Source organism: Homo sapiens, chromosome 3 (genome assembly GCF_000001405.40).
Source record: "Homo sapiens chromosome 3, GRCh38.p14 Primary Assembly".
Taxonomy (NCBI): Eukaryota; Metazoa; Chordata; class Mammalia; order Primates; family Hominidae; genus Homo; species Homo sapiens.
In genome coordinates this window covers 172,690,395-172,712,173 of record NC_000003.12, presented here as the reverse complement: position 1 = coordinate 172,712,173, position 21,779 = coordinate 172,690,395, and the positions used below count along the sequence as shown (strand labels likewise).

Below are 21,779 nucleotides of genomic sequence, written 5' to 3'. Positions count from 1 at the left end.
CCTACCACTTTCTTGAAACAGGTCTTCTAACTGTTTTCCTTCTGGATTTCTGGTTGAAATTTTGCTAGTGAAGTTTTCTCTCTCCCATTCAGTACTCACCCACCCCTCCTCACCCCCAATCATTAACAAGAAATCTGGGTTTAAGTGTATTTCTGCTACCATTGACTCACTGAAAGAATTTTTCAGGTGATATCCACACGTTTCTCCAATAAAAAGTTATTATTTTTTCCCTTTGTAGTAATTTGTGGAGAGATCTTCTGATGAAGGACCAAAATTCTGTGTCAAATTTTTACCCTCTAGTTTTAGCATTCATTTATGATTTTCTATGGATACTAGCTGGCATTCTATTTTAAGAAAAGCCTTTCTTCTTTCCTCATTTATTTATATTAATATAGATTGTTGAGTTTTATTTTAATCAATGGGTTATCCATTATGATGATTTATATTGATGGTAAAATTATCCCAGCTTCAGCCACTGGGAGACCCTTCAAGCTGGCAGCTGTGGACCTTTGACCAGTTCCTATCATTTTTTGAGCACTTCCGCATCTCTGGCACAACAGGTTCATCTTGTACTTTACAGCCCCAGCCCTGGTATCAGCCTTTTCTCCAGAGGTTGTGTCAAAAAGCCGTGGTTCCTCTTATTGGAGCATAGGATTTAGAAACCAAGACTTGGGTGCTAGATGTACTACTGGCCTTTCATTGCTTGAGCCAGAAGAATTTAATATCTTCTTTTGCCATATATCAGCTAGAACTTACAAACCACTCCAAGTCTGGCTCCAGAAAACAGAATTTTTATATCCTTTCTCAGTACTCTGAGTCAGAATGACCCACTTGCTTTGTCCAGAGACTCGTCACACTGAAACTATTTTCCGTTTGAGACCTTCCAGGAGGAAAGCCATCCTCACACGCATGCAGTACAAACCAGTGTCCTCCAGAGTCCGCTGTGCCTACGGCCAGAGCAGCGACAGAGCCTTCCTCAAACCTGTAGTGACTGCCACACTTTGCAAGGACACCGTAGAGGGGGCATGTCCGCGCTCCAACTTCCTCCCGACGCAGCCTCTGATTGGCTCCTGGGCTTATAAGAAACGCGTGAATGAGCAGCTGCCGCGGGCAGAAAGTTGCCGGAGGTCTCCGGGTGGTATCGCCCTTTCCTCTTTGCCAGCCCGCTGGCGAGCCGAGCCAGGGCAAGATGAGGTCGTCCTGTGTCCTGCTCACCGCCCTGGTGGCGCTGGCCGCCTATTACGTCTACATCCCGCTGCCTGGCTCCGTGTCCGACCCCTGGAAGCTGATGCTGCTGGACGCCACTTTCCGGGGTGCACAGCAAGTGGTGAGGTGCAGCCCAGCGCTGCTTCTCTCTTCCTCCTCTTACGCAATATTTGAAGGGGATACAAAATTCCTCCGCCGGGTTCCACGAAAACGCAGGTTTTTCCTAATGCATTGAGGCTGTCGCTTTTTGAGGTGGTCCAGTCGGGAATTTTCAGGGTATCGCATTCGCCTCCTTGCTAGCAGCGGGCTAGATCTGCATTTCCCCGTCTGCGTTTGTGACGGGGAAGAAGTGCTTGAATAGAATTTGACAACTGTTTAAACCTTCGTCTGTCCTAAATATCTTCCTCTTCCTTGGTTTGCAACGTCAAAAGGCAAATCCTTAAGCAGTTTATAAACCACCCTTCTTCACACTGTCGTTCTCCCATAGGGACCGGCAGAGGATAAATATTTTTAGGAGAGCTCGGGAAAAGCAGGCTCTGGTTCCTGGGAATGCAGCCACCTTAGAAGCAGAAGCAGGCAAGGGCAGTCTCGCAATGTCCCCAGGCTGTGGAGCGCTCCGTTCCCGGAGACAGCAGGCAGGGCTCTCCATCCAAGCACTTGAGGAACCATAGGGATCTCTCGTTTCACCCGAGGCAGATCTCAGCTCAGCCCAAGAAAGAGGACTGGGAGGCTGGGCTGGCTGAAAGGAGGTGAGGAGGCGGCAGCCCTGGTTTGCATGATGCATGTTTTCTGCTTGCCCTGCAGCATTTATTTTATGTCCTTGGCTGTCAGATAACCTTTTCCTGAGCGAGGTTACCTGCCTTAACCTGGGAGGGTAACATTTCTCTCCACTGTATCATGGGCGTGTGTTCATTCCTTCCATACACAGGAAAATATAACTGTCTCTGGTTTATTCCATGGTAAGAGGCATTATTTTTAGTGTCAGAGAATCTAAAATCTAAACTACAGTCTGCAGCCAAGGCTGAGCCCTCTGATTGGACAGTATTTCTGAGCAGCCTGCTCTATCTAAACTCTAACCTTCTCCAAAACCAAGCCTCCTCCCTCCCCACAACCTTGGGCTTTAATCTCAGAATATTTTTATAAACTCTTTCTTTCAGAAATGACAACTAGAGAAAGAGAAAAAAAATCATTTCAACCTGAGAAAGCTGATTTTAAAAAAGTCATGATTTTCCCAGAGGGTTTATGTTCCTGTTCCCTGTCCACTCATTATGTGTAGGATTACATAATCTGTGGGGCTTTATCCTATGAAAAGTCCCCTTACTAGGATATTGCAGCACATTCCTAGCGTGGATTTGCTTTTCCTGAATTCAGCCACATTCTCACCTCCAAAGCCCCTTTTGTCTCTTAGGAAAGGTCTATGAAGCTATAGACCCCTGCCCCCCTTCTTTTCCTCTTGCTTCCTATAATGTTGACATGGTGAAAATGATCATCCCCTTCTTTAGCACTGGTGTCAAGAAAGTCAGTCTTGTTGTAGGAAGCCTTGCATTCCCTCTCCTCCCCCATGAAATTATGTAATTTGAAAGTAATACCCTTCAAAGATTGAGGAACAGTGATGTTTACCTGGGTGGGTTAATGGTCTACTACAATAACTTAAACAGAGGAAAACAGGAAAAAGATCAAACTGCTGTGTTGGCTGCAGAGATTATTCTTAGTTTTCAGGTCACCAAAGAAGTCTTCTCCATCATAAGTTAATCTCGGACAAGCTAGGTTTGGAGAAAAGCTTTTCTTTCCCAGCTAGGCTTGCCAGCCCATTAAGGACAAGGCTGTGTAAGGTCCTCCACAGAGTATACCCTCAGGTGGTGCTTGGGAATGATAGTGGGTGTAACCTGAAGTCAGCAATAGATGAGGTAACCAGTGTTCTCACCTGACACTGTGGCTCAGGAGTGGATTTGCAGAAAAATGGCTCTTATCACTTCTCCTCTAAATTGTGAAATATCAGAAAGATCATTATGATCAGATGGAAACATATTCTACCCAATAAAGCAATTTTCCAGTGTCACCTCAAATCTTCCTGAGTTTTCCCTGTAAAATAGGGCAAAAAACTACCTTGTAGGTTTGCTATAAGGTTTAGTAATGTATTTAAGTGCCTGGTACTTGTAGTGAGTCTTCTAGTTGTCCCCAAGGGTCCATTGTGGATTGTGGGAACATCTATAAGAATGCTTACCTTTTTTGAAGCAATAAAATAAATGTAAACTGGAAGTAATTTATGTGATTGAAACCTGGAGTGCTACTACTAAATTACCTGGTGTCATGGCCTGGGGCGGTGGCTCACGCTGTAATCCCAGCACTTTGGGAGGCCGAGGCGGGTGGATCACGAGGTCAGGAGTTCGAGACCAGCAGCCTGGCCAACATAGTGAAACCTCTTTCTACTAAAAATACAAAAAATTAGCCAGGGCTGGTGGCAGGTGCCTGTAGTCCCAGCTACTTGGGAGGCTGAGGCAGGAGAATCGCTTGAACCTGGGAGGCGGAGGTTGCGTTGAGTCGAGATTGTGCCACTGCACTCCAGCCTGGGCAACAAGAGTGAAACTCTGTCTCAAAAAAATATATAAATAAATAAATTGCATGGTGTCAACCTCGTTACTCAGATAATTTTAGTTTGAGTTGATTGGCTCAACTACAAAAGCAATTTAAGCTGTTTGAGAGATTAAGCTCAGCCTATTTCCTAAGACAGCATCAGCTGCCTACCATTAAGAAATGTGAATGTTAGTTTATTCTGTTGTCATTGGCAAATACTTTATGCTTTAGCATTTTTTATGTCCTTTATCTTGTGCAGTGAGTCAGACTATTGAGATTATGTTCATTGTGCTTTTTTTCCTTGGGGTTCCCCATATTCCTTAAGAAGCAGCTACTTAGGATCTCTCTGACTCCTCTCAAACACAGATGCTATGTCAGAATCACCTAAGAACTGTTTAAAACAAACCAAACCAAAACAAAACACTTGATGCCCAGGTTACACCACATACCAAACTTACTTAGAATCTCTGGGAGATGAACGTTCTTAGCAGTGTTTAAGAAAAGTTCCAGCCGGGCGCGGTGGCTCACGCCTGTAATCCCAGCACTTTGGGAGGCCGAGGCGGGCGGATCACGAGGTCAGGAGATCAAGACCATCCTGGCTAATACGGTGAAACCTCGTCTCTACTAAAAATACAAAAAAATTAGCTGGGCGTGGTGGCAGGCTCCTGTAGTCCCGGCTACTCGGGAGGCTGAGGCAGGAGAATGGCGTGAACCCGGGAGGTGGAGCTTGCAGTGGGCCGAGATCAGGCCACTGCACTCCAGCCTGGGCAACAGTGTGAGACTCCGTCTCAAAAAAATAATAATAATAAAAATAAAAAACGAAAAGTTCCCCAGATGATCTTCATTGCAGCAAAACTTGAGAACCACTGCTCTATAAGATAAAAGGCATTGCTGTTGTAGACAATATATTTTCCTTAAACTGCGTGTTATATTGCATACGTGTTGCTGGAAATGAGCCCTTTTACATTAGCATGGATTAGTTTATCAGATTAGTTGACACTTTGGCCCTAAGGGGATAAAATACTAGCTAGGCAAATTTCTGTGTTATAGCAAAGCCACCATAAGACTTGAGCAGTGGAAAAGCACAAACAAAAGTAGGTCTGAGAAGGGCAGAGGTGTAATTTAGATGATCAGGCAGCAGGAGACTAGAGGAACAAAAGAAGAGAGTTTGGGGAAGTCCTGAAGGCTGATTTCCAAATGCTATGCAGACAAAGATTTTTTTTTTTAAATGGTAATCTCAGTGCAGGTTAAAATACTAAGTGTACACTGCTGGAGAAAATGTATGTTAGAACCACGTTTTTGGAGAACAGTTTGGCAATATCCATCAAAGCCTTATAAGTGTGTTTATTTTTTGACCCCGTAATCCCTCTAGATGGAATTTATGGTAAGTAATGATGGATATAGGCAAACCTCTAGCTATAAAGATGGAAACATTTTACAGGATTAAAAAACTTGTTCATCAGCACCGTAAGACAAAGAAAAAAAACAAAAACTTGTTGAACTTGTCTAAAAGCACTGCCACTTATAATAAACGTGAAGTAAAATCGAGCAATCTTTTTTTCTTTTATTTGCAGCACCATTTAAACGAATGAAGGTCGGGTGTGGTGGCTCATGCCTGTAATCCTAGCACTGTGGGAGGTCGAGGCGGGCGGGTTACCTGAGGTCAGGAGTTCAAGACCAGCCTGGCCAACATGGTGAAACCCCGTCTCTACTAAAAAATACAAAAAATTAGCCGGGTGCAGTGGTGCGCGCCTGTAATTCCAGCTACTTGGGAGGCTGAGGCAGAAGAATCGCTTGAACCAGGGAGGTGGAGGTTTCAGTGAGCCGAGATGGTGCCACTGCACTCTAGCCTGGGCTACAGTGAGACTTCGTCTCAAAAAAAAAAAAAAAAAAAGAAAAATGTAAGAACAGTAAAAGATTAAATAATGGTAAATTCATATTTGGGAATACTAGGCAGTTAAAAAAATTTAGGTTGTAAAATGTTTAATGACTTGCAAAAGATTTGTACCATGTGTTAAGCAGGAAAAGGCTACAAAATAGATCATACACTATTTATATATCAAAACATGTATCTATGTTTGTATAGAAAAAGCAGAAAGATATAATTTAAAACATGATTTTTTTCTTCTGGGCCATAAAGTTGTATCTTCAGTTTTCGTATTGGTGTATTCTAGATTTTCTACAATGAACATGTAGTAATAAATTATTTTAAAGCTTTTTTTAATCCAGGCATGGTAGCTCATGCCTGTAACCCCAGCACTTTGGGAGACTGTTGTGCCAAACCCCCATTAACCTCAGTAGTGAAGGCACCAGGTTGAAGAGGCTGAAGAAGATTCCCAGAGCCTGCAAACAAGACATGGGTTTTTTTTTTTTTTTTTTTTTTGGTTGTTGTTGTTGAGATGGAGTCTCACTGTGTCACCCAGGCTGGAGTGCAGTGGCGTGATCTCAGCTCACTGCAACCTCCACCTCCTGGTTTCAAGTGATTCTCGTGCCTCAGCCTCCTGAGTAGCTGGGATTACAGGTGCCCGCCACCATGCCTGGCTAATTGTTGTATTTTTTAGTAAGGACAGAGTTTCACCATGTTGGTCAGGCTGGTTTTGAACTCCTGACCTCAGGTGATCCACCAGCCTTGGCCTCTTAAAATGTTGGGATTACAGGCGTGAGCCACCGTGCCCAGCCAAAAATAGGGTTTTATTAGGGGCTTGCATACAAGGGAAAGAGTCCAGTGGTGGTGGGCTGGACAGAAGAACCACTTTATATATAGAAAAGGGGCATTGGCAGGAGGCTGGACAACATATCTGTCTTTCTACAGTCCAGTGGTGGCAGGCAGGGCAGGAAAATCACAACTGCCTACAAACATGTAGTTTACATAGCATTGTCACTTGACGTCTTCCCCCTAATGACTTCCACCTGGCAACCTTCATTTAACCCAAAACTCAGGGCCTCAATCCCCTGTACATCCCATGTTACATGATGGGCGGTGCTCACATGTTTATCATAGATAAAGAACAAATCACTGGGTTGGGCACTTGGGGACTCCTTAACTCAGAACACACATTTAGGTGTGTCTGCCATACAGGGTCATTCTCAGAATGTGCTTAGGTTATTGCTATCAGCTGAGTTTACAGAGGCTGAGGTGCAAGGATCACTTGAGGTCGGGAGTTCGAGAGCAGCCTGGGCAACATAGTGAAACTATGCCACCCTCCCCATCTCTACAAAAAATATCTTTCAAAACAAAAAGTAACTTTTCCCCCCAGGGATAATTTTTCTATTTCTAAAGTGGAACTGATGTGCATATGCATATCAATATATATTTTAGTATTTGCTTTATGAGAAAAATCGAATTTCTTTTAAAAAGACTTTCTGGATCCCCTGATATAGCTATCATAGTGCCATGCTTTGTGCTCAGTTACCTAGACTTAACATGGATTGAAATCCTGTGTGAAGCTATGGAGAGTCACTAAAGTGACCTAGAAGAAACCACAGTCTAGTAGGATGGAGAAGTCATGTTAATATATAGCTATTAAAAAGCTGGAAGCTGATAGGTGTAGAACAGGTGTAGTTACAAAGTCTCATAGGAGGGAGAGTCTATGTATAGTTTAGAAGAGTGATCCTCCCGCTTTGGCTTCCCAAAGTGCTGGGATCACAGGCATAAGCCAACGTGCCTACCTGTAATTGAATTTTCAAGTGAAAAACCTGACTATATTGCCTGCCTAATCTAAGATGTGTCATATTATGAAATTTTAACAAGCTCTCTTTCAGTGTTTAATAAAATTAAAACCCTGGAAGTGATCACTTATTAAATGAACACCAAGGCAAGGAGCTGGTCTGGCAAAACAGAAATGTGTAAGGCAGAAACCTAAACTTGAGAAGCTTACAGTCAAGTGAAGGATGATAAACCAACTGCCAGTGATAGGGTAGGTGCTTGAATGATGGAAGGAAAATGTGGCTAAAGGTAATAATGGTGTCCCAAGAGAGCTCGGAGCATGAGCCTGGCTTGTCTTGATTATTTTCTAACTTACTACTGCTTACACTATGAATCTTTTCAGTGACACAATGTAAAAGAAGTGCTGAAATTGGTATTTATGCTGAGTGTTCCCCCTGTTTCTTATGGGTGACAGTGCTTTTGGACTAGTTGATCAAGGATTTTTATCTTGCCAAATGTCCCCAAACTTGTTGAGATTTAATGTCACCTCACCTGAATTCTCTGTGCATGATGTGCTTTTGGGCTGTGTGGGTGTGGTTTAAATGACAGCTCAGCTGGAAACTGTGCAGAACTTCAACGTGCTAATAATCTCTTTCATAACAGTTTTGAACTGGAATATTTACTATTGTCAGGTGAATTTAACTTTAAAACATCAGTAAATAATGATTGTCCAGAAATTATGATGATGCGTATTTCTTCATGCACATTAGTAACTTCACTAACCACAATTTTTAGCTGATTTGCTAGGATTTTTCTTTAAACATATGGAGGCAAAAGGTTTTAAGAATAGTGTCAGGGGCATTATTTAATCAGTGTTAGTTCTGACAGGTGAACAACCTGAGTTGGTCTCTGCAGATAGTACCTATGAAACATTAAGGTCAGATTGATTCAGCTACCTGGTGTGTAAGATAATGCCCAATTTATAGTTTCCTTTTTATTTTTTCTGGTACTTCTACAAATATAACCCTGAGCATAGAAATACCCTCATTATTTTAATGGGACATCCTATTTCTACCATGCAATTTGAGCTTGATCTGAGACATTTCTGTGAAGTGTGAAAGTACAGTTAATCATTCTTAAATGTTCTTTTTATGCACAATTGCTTCTTTTAAAATAGCATTTTAAAATAGCATATATTTACTTTTTTTTTTTTTTTTTTTGAGACAGAGTCTTGCTCTGTCACTCAGGCGGGAATGCAATGGTGCGATCTCGGCTCACTGCAACCTCCGCCTCCCAGGTTCAAGCAGTTCTCCCGCCTCAGCCTCCCGAGTAGCTGGGATTACAGGCCCCCGCCATGATGCCCGGCTAATTTTTTTTTGTATTTTTGTAGGGATGGGGTTTCACCATGTTGGCCAGGCTGGTCTCAAACTCCTGACCTCAGGTTATCCACCCGCCTTGGCCTTCTAAAGTGCTGGGATTACAGGGGTGAGCCACTGCACCCAGCCATATTTACTTTTCTAAAGAAAATATGTAACACTGCAAATGTGTGTCATCCTTCTGCAGGGGCATGCTAGTCCTCTCTGAACTGTTATGGTTTTAGTGTATGTGCTGCTGAAGTGAGCACCATATATTTACTTTTGCTGCCAAATGAAATTATGTGGGAACTGTCTACCACTTCTCTTTCATTTTATGTTTATATAGAATGAAGAAATGTAATTGAATTTATTTTCGTTTTTTACTTTTTATTTTTTTCTTACAGACAAGGTCTTGCTCTGTCACCCAGGCAGGGATGCAGTGGTGTGATCACAGCTCACTGCAACCTTGAACTTCTGGGCTCAAGGGATCCTCCTGCCTCAGCCTTTTGAGTAGCTGGGACTACAGGCGCGTGCCACCATGCCTGGCTATATTTTTCTTTTTTTATTTTTTAGGAGAGACAAAGTCTTGCTATGTTGCCCAGGCTGGTCTCAAACTCCTGGGCTCAAGTGATCCTCTTGCTTTGGCTTCCCAAAGTGCTGGGATCACAGGCATAAGCCACCGTGCCTACCTGTAATTGAATTTTCAAGTGAAAAACCTGACTATATCGCCTGCCTAATCTAAGGTGTGTCATATTGTGAAATTTTAACAAGCTCTCTTTCAGTGTTTAATAAAATTAAAACCCTGGACGTCATCACATATTAAATATTAAGGAGCTGGTCTGGCAAAACAGAAATGTGTAAGGCAGATACCTAATCTTGAGAAGCTTACAGTCAAGTGAGGGATGATAAACCAACTGCCAGCGATAAGGTGGGCACTTGAATGATGGAAGGAGAATTATGATAGAGGCATCTGTGGATTGCTGCAAGAGCCTTGGAAAGAACATCTAAAGTGGACCTGGGCACTGGGGAAACGTATCTAATCTGAGATGTCAAGGTTGAGTGCCTATAGTAAAAATATCTATTGAGCATATAGTGAGCATTTACTCTGTGGCAGATACTGTGCTATGTGCTTTGTGTTCAATTAGTTTAGCCCATGGTAATACAATCAGGCAGGTGTTCTTTATGTGACAAAGGAGGAGACCGAAATGCAAAGAAAAGTGACTTGCTTAAGATGACACCGTTTATACGAGGTGGAGCCTGAATTCGATTCCAGCCTGTGTTACTCCTGAACTCAAGAGTTTAGATTTGTGCTAGATTTCCTTATAATAGAAACCAGAGAAGAGAAGGGTGAAAGGGGCATTCCAGCCAGAAGCAGCAGTATGTGAAAGTTCTGTGGGAGAGGATGGTGTAGCTGAGGAACTACAAGTGGTTTAGACTGGCTGGAGCTTAAAGTTCAAAGGTCAGAGAGGGAGGCAGAAGGGAAGCACCAGTCAGGTGAGGAAGAGCTCTGTGGAGGAGAAAGGAGCAACTGACAGTCTTCTAGCAGAGAAGTCACATGCTCAAAACTGTGTTTTAGAATAGTCCTTCTCAGTGGCAGTGTAGACACTGGAATGTAAGAAAGCAAAAGTAGGCCAGGCGTGGTCGCTTACAACTGTAATCCCAGCACTTTGGGAGGCTGAGGCAGGCGGATCACAAGGTCACGAGTTTGAGACCAGCCTGGCCGGTATGGTGAAACCCAGTCTCTACTAAAAATACAAAAAAAAAAAAAAAAAAAAACTAGCTGGGCATGGTGGCACGCGTCTGTAGTCCCAGCTACTCGGGAGGCTGAGGCAGGAGAATCCCTTGAATCTGGGAGGTGGAGGTTGCAGTCAGCCAAGATTGCACCACTGCACTCCAGCCTGGGCAATAGAGGGAGACTCCGTCTTTAAAAAAAAAAAAAAAAAGGCAAAAGACCATCTAGGAAGCACTAATCCAGGTGAGAGCATGAACTAACAAAGTGGGACTGATTTGGAGGAAAGCTGATCAGAGTTGCTGTTGGAGGGGAGAGTATGGAGCATCGGAGAGGAAGGAGTCAAAGATGACTCCTGGGACAGATTCTGGAATAGCTGGGTGAATGGGGACCATGACCCTGATTTGGGAGCAAGAGCAGATCTGAGGGTGAAGATATAGAGTTTGGGACCCTGTTTTGAAGTGTCAGTGGACTAGTCCAAGGATGGCTGATCATAAACAGCTGCATATACAGATCCAGAGCTCAGGAGACAGAGCTGGGCTGGTGATATGGATTTGGGAGTAGTCAGCAAATGGATAGTGGCAGAAGTAGTTGAAATGAATGTGTTTGGAGTGACAGTAAGATCTGGAGGATTTTACCAAGGGTGCCCCTCAGGGACACCAGTGGCAAGTGGAAAAAGAGGCTATCCCTGAGAGAAATGAGACCTTAACATAACTTTTTAGTATACCTCATATTTATAAAGTACTCTAGATTTTATGAAGGTTTTTACTAATATCACCTCATTTCATTTTTTTTTCAATAAATAACTGGTTGCCATTGTTATTTCCATTTGTCAGCTAAGGGAACTTGAGGTTCAGAAAGGCTCAAGGACACCATCAAGATCGTATGATCAGGGCCAGGCACGGTGGCTCACACATGTAATCCCAAGGCAGGAGACCCCTTGAGGCCAGGAGTTCAAGACCAGCCTTGGCAACAAAGTAAGACTGTCTCTACAAAACATAGTTAGCCAGATGTGGTGGCACATGATCTCAGCTACTGGGGAGACTGAGGATCTCTTGAGCCTAGGAGGTGAAGGCTGTATGATCACACCACTACACTCTAGCCTGGGTGACAGAGCAAGACCCTGTCTCTTAAAAAAATTTTTTAAATTTAAACATGTGATCAGTTATGCTGGCGAAATGGGAACTGCAATAGAAATTCATGGACTCTTAGTTTCATGCCCTCCCTGCTGGGCTATGCTGTGAGGACACTCATGATAACTTAGTCACTAGTGAATTTTTTGTCCTGATTTTTTTTTTGAGCTCCCACAATTAATCTATATCAGTGCTTCTTCTTATTTTTTGTGTCATAGAAACAATTACATTTGTATAGTATACTGGGGATTCTGGAAGCAATTTTGGGGAAATCTGTATGAGCTTGAATAACAGAATTCACAAGATTTATAAAGAGTTACACAAATGGTTCTCAAATAGAATGCCAACTCTGATGCCAATTATTCAACTCTGTATAGTTATACAAAATGGCTTTAAGTTTTTACCTCTATAAAATATTTAAACATTGATAGCTAGTGCCCCATCTGTAATCCATTTGTAGAATACCTATTGGGAAGCTCACCTTTCTCCAGTTTGTAACTTTTAAAATATATGTCTGTTATCATTGTTATTAAACACAGATAGATAGTCCCCAAGTTACATGTATTTAGGTAGCCGTATAATTTATTGTCCAAACCAGGACATTTTTGAGAGTAGCAGGGACTGCTATTAATAATCATGCTAGGTCAACAGTGTTTTTTTCTTTGTTTTGAGACAGGGTGTCTGTGGCGCAGGCTGGAATGCAGTGGTATGATCGTGGTTCACTGCAACCTCTGCCTCCCCAGGTTCAAGCAATCTTCCCACCTCAGCCTCCCAAGTAGCTGGGACCACAGGCATACACCACCATGCCCAGCTGATTTTTGTATTTTTTGTAGAGATGAGGTCTCCCTATATTGCCAGGGTGGGTCTTAAACTCCTGGGCTCAAGTGATTCTCTTGTCTCAGCCTCCCAAAGTGCTGGGATTGCAGGTATGAGGCACCATGCCTAGCTCAGTGCAATGGTTTTAAACCAGAGTGATTCTCAGTCAAACCTGGACGGATGCTCAGGCTGCATTTATTTGACTTGCACACATTTGGCCTAATCAAGTCAAGGCTGTGAAATGATCCCTCGTTCCCAGTCCTGAGTGCTCCAATCTGACTGTTAATCCTCCAGTTACCACTCCTCCACCCCACCCGCACTTCCTATCCCCTGTAGAATAAAAGTGCTAAGTTCCTTGGCTGGCACTTGGTGCTTGCTACAACCTGGCACCATTTTGCTGACTGCAGCCTCACTGTGTCATGGATGACAGTTCAGCTCGTGAATCTGCTTACGCTTCTCCTGTTGTCCCCTCTGTCCCAGATGCCCTCCCACCCTTTTACTTTGGGCAATATCCCACGCATCGTTCAATACCAACTCAGAAATCATCTCTTTTGAGAACTTCCCCGTCTCTTTCCCTCTCACTGCCCTTCCTTGGCCTTAATTTCTCTCTCAACACTCTGCTAGCGTTTTGGTTTTCTTTTATGGCCCTTAGATGTTGCTTATGTTGCTACTTATGTACAGGCTCCCCACCAAATCATAAATTTTCTCTCCTATCATTGACATAATTTTCCTCTTACTGCTTTAGGACTTTTATTTTTGTTTGAAGACCATTCACGATAGAGAGACTAAAGAGAAATTAGGAATTCATGGTTCTGCTTCCATTATCACTGTGTTACCGCGTCTGTCGCAAGGGGCAGGCCCTGTGCTTCCACGTGCTTCTGACTCTGAATGTAGCCAAAAATGGTTTTGTGTTGTCCTTCACAACTGTGTTTTGCAAGCCTCGCTGTTTTCTGGGTTTCTAACTTCCTCATGTTTTAATAGATTTATGCTTGTTTTCAAATTTGTCATGAATTATGTGTCTGTTTCTGACTAAATGTTAATTATAGGACATCTCCTTAAAAGAACACTGGTGATTTTCCACATTTGATAGTCATCTGCCTTTTCTTTTTCCCCTTGAATAGGATAGTTGATAAATACCCCATGAGAGATTGAGAGACCCTTTTCAGAGCTGCCTGTCCCATAATGTTGTCCCTGCCCTGAGACTCAAACTATCTTTCTTTGAAAACTTTGAAATCTACTTTTTAAAAAGTGGAAGATGTGTATCTCACTGTTTCTGGTATATGCATCATTTCCAAGGTAAAGTCACTTTGTCCCAAGGTTTCAGTCACTTCCATTTCACTGAACACAGTTCTTCCTTGTTTGTGAGAGGCAGGGCCAGACAGCAATTATCCGGGCTTCCTGAACTTTCTTAGCAAAGCAAGTCAATTCTGCTTTTAGAGGCCGGGTGCAGTGGCTCACACCTGTAATCCCAGCACTTTGAGAGGCTGAGGCAGGCATATCACCTGAGATCAGGAGTTTGAGACCAGCCTGGCTAACACGGTGAAACCCCATCTCTACTAAAAATACAAAAATTAGCCGGGCATGGTGGCGGGTGCCTGTAATCCCAGCTACTTGGAAGGCTGAGGCAGGAGAGTCGCTTGAACCCAGGAGGCAGAGCTTGCAGTGAGCTGAGATCACGCCACTGTACTCCAACCTGGGTGACAAAGTGAGACTCCGTCTCAAAAAAAAAAAAAAAAAAAAAAAATTCTGCTTTTAGAAAGTGATCAGCTTTTAACAATAAGATTGCTGGCAGATATCTGCATAATAATAGATGCATTTGCAGAATTACAAACACAACCACTTTATAAAATAGTAGTTAATGCTCTCATTTTATAGGAAAGGAAATAGAGGCTCAACAAAGTTAAGTAACTTCTTCACAGACATGGGCCTGCTTAGTGAAGTTGGCTGTGAACAAGGTCTGCTGGACCCCATTGCCCTTTGAACTACATTCAACAGTCTCCTGTTATGGTTGTTCAATCTTCTGTCTTCCCCTTCTCCCTCCTCTCCCTCCACGCTCAGCTCTTTTGTGGCTAGTTGTATGATCCACATTAAGAATGCATCACATTGGGAAAAAGTGTATTATGTATTTACAAATTTTAGTCCTGGAGGATGCTAATACAGTTTAAAAAAAAAAAACTTGAGACAAAATAAGTTTAACAGTTTATTTGAGCCAAGAGAGCTGCACTCTGCAGGGTGAACAGCAAGATTCTATAGATGAAACACCCAAGAGAGGTAGAGAAATTACTTGATTGGCTACAGCTAGGCATTTTGGCTTATTTGGGTATGATCCAGTGGCTAGAGGTTAGTTAGTGGTTTCTGATAGGTTAAGCTTAAGTTTTATTTTACTGTTTATGTTGAATTGGGTTTTGGCCTGCTTACCTGGGGGCTATAGCTACAGTGACAACCTCAGGCTAATGGCCTCAGTATTTGCTTTAAAGATATATATTGGCCGGGTGCTGTGGCTCACGCCCGTTACCCTAGCACTTTGGGAGGCCAAGACCGGTGGATTGCCTGAGCTCAGGAGTTTGAGACCAGCCTGGGCAACATGGTAAAACCCCATCTATACTTCAAAAAAAAAAAAAAATTAGCTGGGCATGGTGGGGCGCACCTGTAGTCCAGCTACTCAGGAGGCTGAGGCATGAGAATCGCTTGAACCCAGGAGGCAGAGGTTGCAGTGAGCCAAGATCACGCCATTGTACTCCAGCCTGGACGACAGAGTGAGACTCTCTGTCAAAAAAAGAAAAAAGATATATATTACCCATTGAATAGGGCTCTATGGTTAAATAAGCTAAGTTTAACAGAGTTAATCAGGATTTCTTTTTTAACTGTAAAACCTTTGAGAACTCTCTGCTAATATGTATTTTGAATCTTAAAGAGAGTGTACAATGAATCCCAAATTTAATTGACTATAGATCTCTTATTTCACAAAACACCTCATGAAACTGATGGTATATTTACCAAACATTGGGGAACATTTTCATAGTGTTTACGAGCATGGACTTTGGGATCGAGGAGACTTGTGTTCAAATCCCGGCTTTGAGCTATCCTAGCTGTGTGACCTTGAACAGAGGACATAACCCAAGGGTTTGTTTACTGATCTAGCAAGTGATTAAAATGCTCCATCTGGAAAGTTATGAAGATTGCACAATATGTGAATAAAGGTTTATTGTTCATTGTTATCATCATCAAACATTAGTTAAATATGTAAAGCACTTGGAGCAATACCTGGCACACGAGAAATATATTTAGTCCAAATCTGATTTTTGTCAGTTGTCTACACTAAACTACAAAGGTAATTTTTTTTTTCTTTTATCGTCACCATTATTCTTGCCAATCTGCTATTGCTCTCAGGTTTGCGGATTTCTATACAGGTGTAGATCTTCTTAACATGGGCTGCTGTTGGTTATGGCTATTAGGTTTAAATCCTGACTTTAGCACCTGTGACTAGTTGGGCAAGTTATTTAACATCTGTGTTAGTTTCTTATCTGTGAACATGAAGATAATGACAGTACCTCCTTCAAGGCTTATAAGGATTAAATGTAATTGTGTATATGAGTTTCTTAACCCAGTGCTTGGCATATAACAAGAACTCAAAACCTCTTCCTAAAGTTAAAGTTTTAGGGTCCGTAGATTTAGTTTGCTGATGTTCTAACTGGATATATGAATCATCATTATCATAGCTAGCTCATTTTTCTTTTTCTTTTTCTTTTTTATTTATTTATTTATTTTTTTGAGACAGAGGCTCACTCTGTCACCCAGGCTGGAGTGCAGTGGTGCCATCTCAGCTCATTGCAACCTCTGCCTCCTAGGTTCAAGCGATTCTCCTGCCTCAGCCTCCCAAGTAGCTGAGATTACAGGTGTGCTCCACCATGCTCAGCTAATTTTTGTATTTTCAGTAGAGACAGCATTTCACCATTTTGGCCAGGCTGGTCTCAAACTCCTGACCTCAAATGATCCACCCACCTCGGCCTCCCAAAGTGCTGGGACTACAGACGTGAGCCACCGCACCCAGCTGCTAGCTTGTTTTTCTAACCACGATTTGAATACATTAACCCAATATTTATACCAACCTTGTTACATAAGTACTATTGTTGTTATATTATAAATGAGGAAATTGAGGCACAAAGAGGTTAATTAAATATCTGCCCAAGTCACATACCCCATAAGTGGCAGAGTCAAAATTCTACTCCAGGTAATCTGTCTGGAGGTAGTGCTCCAAAAGCTAGAGAAATCGTCTCTTAGTCACTGTCTTATATCAAGGAGCTCCACTGGGCTTTGCCAAGGTATTGTTCATTTTAGAATTTTGTGTCAACTGTGAAGAGTTCCTTAGGCTGTAGGTACCTTAGGCAAAGTTGTTGAAATGACATTTTGTTAAATTAAAGTGCTTTACTTGAATTCTAGTCCTAATGGCAGGTGACCTTGCCTCAATGTGAAGGTAGTGAAGAAGTACTTACAAGCAGGGTTGATATTTTCCTCAACAAAGGGCTTTAGATTTGCTCAAATGATTGACAACTCTGGGGCTTAGAGATCTGGCCTATGAGTATGGAAAAGATGACTTTGACTTCTGAAGTTATGAAACATAGGTGTCTTCAGTTGACCACCATAATTGAGGAAATATACCATGTCCTCTCTATCATGTTAGTTGAGCAATTATTATGTGCTAGTACTTGGATATAGCAATTCACAAGACGAACAGCACTTGGTCCTCCTGGAGCTAAAATCCAGGCTAAAAACATGAGATGAATAAGTAAAGGAAATATAGGAAATAGGGAGAAATTTGTTGGCAGGTCAGTGATAATGGAAACCCTGGAAATCCATGAAATCCCCTGAATGAAGAATAGTGTTAGAGCTGCCAAGAAGAGGTGGAGCCTCAGAGGAAGCAGAAGTTGGGAAAACAAGAAAAAATGGGAAGAAGGCATCAGAGAAGCCCAGACGGAGTACTGCCAGCAGGGTGGGGCTGCTATGATGAACTGTCCTGAGAAGCCGAGGAACCTGAGGACTGCAATGGGCCTGTCAGGGCCCCACAAGTGCACTCCAGGCACCTGTGCCTTTCCATTCAAAGTCTCAACCCGTAACCTGTCTGTTGGAGTGATGTCAAGGATGTCCTCCAAAACTGATGTTTTGACTTTGGCAATGTTGATATTGAGCCATCATTTCTGACAAGAAATAGTCAAAATATAGTTTATAGGTTGTGATTAAAATTCAAGGTGGAGGTTACCGATGGAAATTACTGATGTACTAAATAGTAAAATACACACATACACACACACACACACACACAGACACACACACACACATATATATAACTCTTTCCCCAAATAACTAAATTAATGTCAGTTGGTTCATCAATGTGGAAACATATTTTACAGTCTGGACTCTTCACAGGCTTAGTAGCCTTTTCTGTCTGTCTCAAAAGGTTCTCATCAGATTAATAGTAAATTTAGTCCATTTTAGATTAAATCCTATTAGTTCTATAGTTGTATAACATTTAAATACAGGCCTGGCATTGTGGCTCATGCTTGGGGAGGATGAGGCAGGAAGTTTGCTTGAGCCCAGGAGTTTGAGATCATCCTGGCCAATGTGGTGAGACCCGTCTCTACAAAAAATTTAAAAAGTTGGCTGGGTGTGGTGGCACGTGCCTATAGTCCTAGCTACTCAGGAGGCTGAGGTGGGAGGATCATTTGAATGCAGGAGCTTGAGGCTGTGGTGTACTATGATTGGGCCACTGCACCAGCCTGGGTGACAGTGAGACCCTGTCTCAAAAAAATAAAAAATTTAAAAATTAAATACACATACTATACTTTTGTTAAGGACAGTGGGTCAGTATTTTACAGGATACTCCATGTGCCACATTTGGTTCTTGGCAGCCACAGAGGTTTCTACTGACCAAAACCAATAACGTGTCAGTCATATTTCCTCACATAGCTAATTAAAATTGCACAATTCTGAATTGTTCAATTAAATGAAGCTTAATACATGGATGAAAAGAAAAATAGTATTATTGGTTACGTCTACAGAAGGAACCTCTTTGGTAGTGATGTTCAATTACTCTAAAAACATTAACATGGTTTCTGTCTCTCTCAAAGCATATTTCGAGAGCAAATAATAGAATTTAAGTGCTTTAAAGAGTTGGACTTTCATTTGGGTATTATGAGTGGTTAAATATCTTTATCTCATCCCCAACTCTAACCACCCCCTCCCATTTTTTTTTTTTTTCATATTCAGGCTTTAGAAGATTGGCAAGCAATCATGGGTAGCATGTTAAAATTTGACACACCTGTAATCCTTAAAGTTGCTGAAATACAGATTGGTCCTTGTGGCTTTGTGTGCACACGGTTTGCTTTCAGGGTCTTTTTATAGATGTTGAAGTTATACTTAAACATATAGTCTTATATTTTGTTATAGCTCTTCTTCTTTCTGTTTATGGAGGAAAATGATGCATTATTCATTTTTAAAGCGCCAGCATATTTTCAGCAGACATTTATTGGCTACCCAGAATGTGTCAGACACTGCAGAGTCCTGGAGCTTCTCATACTCTGAAAAACCAAGATGTAGACAATCCCAAACAAATATGCTGAGGGCTTCAGTTTGTGGTACAAAGTGGGTCCTACGGGAGCCAGGTTGGAGGAAGCCCCTGTAAGTCTGAGGAACTCAGAGGAACCCAGAGGAAGTGCTGGCTGAGCTGGGTCTGAATGGATGAGAAGTAGCACTCTTTCAATAGGAAGAACATTCCAGGAAGTGAAAACAGCAAGAGTCTGAGGTGAAAGAGCATGGCAGACACAGGAAGCTACTGCTCTGGAGTTTCTGAAAGTATCAAAGTTTGAAGGAAATCTTTACATGACTGAACCATGGGTGGGACTAGCCCACCTTGTGTTGTTAGATCTATTACACTGCTTTAATTTTGGTCACTTTTAATAAGCTAATAATAGGATGATGAAAGCACACAACCAACATCAAGAGTAAGTATTACTTGATGAAATAAACTTGAAACTACTTACTAAAAATATTCTAGGCCAGGCACGGTGGCTCACACCTGTAATCCTAGCACTCTAGGAGGCTGAGGCAAGTGGGTCACTTGAGCCCAGGAGTTTGAGACCAGCCTGGGCAACATAGTGCAACCCCATCTCTACAAAAAAATTAAAAAAAAAAAATTAGCCAGGTGTGGTGACATGCACCTGTGGTCCCAGCTACTTGCAAGGCTGAAGTGGGAGAATCACTTGAGCCCAGGAAATTGAGGCTACAGTGAGCCTGTGATCCTGCCACAGCCCTCTAGCTTGGGCAACAGAGCCAGACCCTGTCTCAAAATAAAAGTAAAGAGAGAAAGAAAAATAAAAATATTCCATTACGAACCTTACAGTAGCATTTAACTCCTGGTGGCCAAATATATAATTTGATTGAAAACAATGAGGTTTTTCTTCTGTTTGGTTTTAGTAGCTTTTTGTCTTTAATAGAAACTTCTTTAAGTCTGTCTTTCTTGCTGTATCCCTAATGTATTACTTCAGACGGTCATTCTTTGTTTAAAGTTTGAAACAAACACTGCAGTTGTTGGCAGCTATGATGCCTTATTGGAGACAAAGGCTTCTTGAATGTTTGTCAAAAGGGGTGGATCTATGCTTAGAGAAGGTGACCTCTTGTTTTGACTACCCAGTCTGGTTTCCCTCTCACCTTCTCTCACTACACCCTGTTCTTTCTTTCTTTCTTTCTTTCTTTTTTTTTTTTTTTTTTTTTTGAGACGGAGTCTTGCTCTGTCGCCCAGGCTGGAGTGCAGTGGCACGATCTCGGCTCACTGCAAGCTCCGCCTCCCGGGTTCACACCATTCTCCTGCCTCAGCCTCCCGAGTAGATGAGACTACAGGTGCTGCCACCACGCCCGGCTAATTTTTGTATTTTTAGTAGAGATGGAGTTTCACCATGTTAGCCAGGATGGTCTCGATCTCCTGACCTCATGATCCGCCTGCCTCAGCCTCCCCAAGTGCTGGGATTACAGGCGTGAGCCACCGCGCCCGGCCAGCACCCTGTTCTTTCTTTACCCTCATTTGCCAGTTCTTCCTGTCACTGGATTTGTTTAATTACTCCTAAGTAATTCCATCTCCACTGCCTGGCTGAAAGCTCTGGAGGGGAGGGGCTTGTCTGTGGACTTCCCCACTGTGTGCACAACTCCTAAAAGTACCTGGCACAAAGTAAACACTCACATATTTGCTGAGTGAGTGAATAGATTGATGAGTGACCGAAAGTCACTCATATTCACAATTATATTGAATACAAATTATGTAAGAGGTGTATGCTAAACCTAGGGGAACAAAAATGAAGGAGAGATCTAGAAGCTCATAATGATAATGCAACAAGTTTTAAAAGTAAAAGCTTAAACTAGAGAGCACAAAGGCAGGAGTGATGGTCTGAGGGATGAGTTGGATAGGGCACCATAGAGGAAGGGATGTCTGACATGGATACTGAAGGATGGACTGGGGTTTGGTCATGAGGGGAAGCAGAAGAAATTTCAGTAACAAATGGAATCCTACAGTCCAGCCCGCTCTATGTTTGGAGAAAGTATCTACTGCCCAGACAAGACAGACAAGTTGTGTAAGCAAAGTGTGTACAAAGAAGCAAAATATAGGAATATGAGTAGGTAAAGGGTGTTTGGGCAGTGTGTGGATGTCAGGGAGTAGACAATGTTTAAGTTACATAATCCCTGGATGTCATAGCTGCTTTAAAAATTTCCCCACAGAAGCATAATTTCTTTAGCAAATTAGAACTGAATTATTTTATTATAAAAGGTAGATAATCATGCTATAGAAATTTTGGAAAATAGAAAAAAAAATTACCTATAATCTCACCTTAACACAACCACTGTTTCTTTTTGTGTATGTTTTGTTTTTGTTAGGTTGAATATGCACTATTAACATTAGAATTCTAACAGAAGGATTTGTCAAATTACTGCATATTATTTCCATCTTTTGTAATGGATGCATTAGAGCTTGTGTCATTTTTAAACCTAACTATTCTCCTATTACCAAAAATTTAGACTGTTTAGTTACTTGCCACCATAAATAATGTTACAGTGGACATATTGTATAATCTGTTTCTTAGGATTTCCCTCAGAAGATTCCTAAAAAGTAGAACTACTAGATCAAAGGCTGTAAATATTTTTGCAGGTCCTATTACATATTTCCAAGTTATTTTCCAATTTATATGGCTAATAGCAATGTGCAAGAATGTTGATTTTGCTACACACTTTTCCAGAACAATTGTAATCGATTTTTTTAACTTGTTACTTCAGTGGCT

General features: G+C 42.0%; 1 protein-coding gene and 1 pseudogene across 4 annotated transcripts in view, besides 4 other annotated features; one reads left to right on the top strand and one right to left on the bottom strand.

Annotated features, from left to right (window-relative positions):
• Nucleotides 456–1,655: an enhancer, noted in NCBI's record as "P300/CBP strongly-dependent group 1 enhancer chr3:172428309-172429508 (GRCh37/hg19 assembly coordinates)". NCBI's record gives its function as "activates an origin of replication core promoter dependent on BRD2, BRD4, P300/CBP, MED14 and CDK7 cofactors, with strong dependence on P300/CBP, by STARR-seq in HCT116 cells {active_cell/tissue: HCT116}" and the evidence as "EXISTENCE:reporter gene assay evidence [ECO:0000049][PMID:35650434]".
• Nucleotides 657–796: an enhancer, noted in NCBI's record as "active region_20830". NCBI's record gives its function as "activates an Ori minimal core promoter by ATAC-STARR-seq in GM12878 lymphoblastoid cells {active_cell/tissue: GM12878}" and the evidence as "EXISTENCE:reporter gene assay evidence [ECO:0000049][PMID:35858748]".
• Nucleotides 841–1,135: an enhancer, noted in NCBI's record as "tiled region #3964; HepG2 Activating DNase unmatched - State 1:Tss, and K562 Activating DNase matched - State 1:Tss". NCBI's record gives its function as "activates a minimal TATA promoter and a strong SV40 promoter by Sharpr-MPRA in HepG2 and K562 cells {active_cell/tissue: HepG2 | K562}" and the evidence as "EXISTENCE:reporter gene assay evidence [ECO:0000049][PMID:27701403]".
• Nucleotides 1,057–1,326: an enhancer, noted in NCBI's record as "active region_20829". NCBI's record gives its function as "activates an Ori minimal core promoter by ATAC-STARR-seq in GM12878 lymphoblastoid cells {active_cell/tissue: GM12878}" and the evidence as "EXISTENCE:reporter gene assay evidence [ECO:0000049][PMID:35858748]".
• NCEH1 (neutral cholesterol ester hydrolase 1) overlaps nt 1,107–21,779 on the top strand; it is an 80,819-nt gene continuing 60,146 nt past the window's right edge. For all 4 annotated transcript variants that reach the window (NM_001146278.3, NM_001146277.3, NM_020792.6 and 1 more), the window contains exon 1: nt 1,107–1,327. Coding sequence is in view for 2 of the 4 variants with exons in the window: in NM_020792.6 (NP_065843.4) it covers nt 1,190–1,327 (138 nt within the window). In the remaining 2 variants the exon portion in view is untranslated. The remainder of the gene's footprint in view (nt 1,328–21,779) is intronic.
• Nucleotides 8,949–9,050, bottom strand: RNU6-547P (RNA, U6 small nuclear 547, pseudogene; annotated as a pseudogene).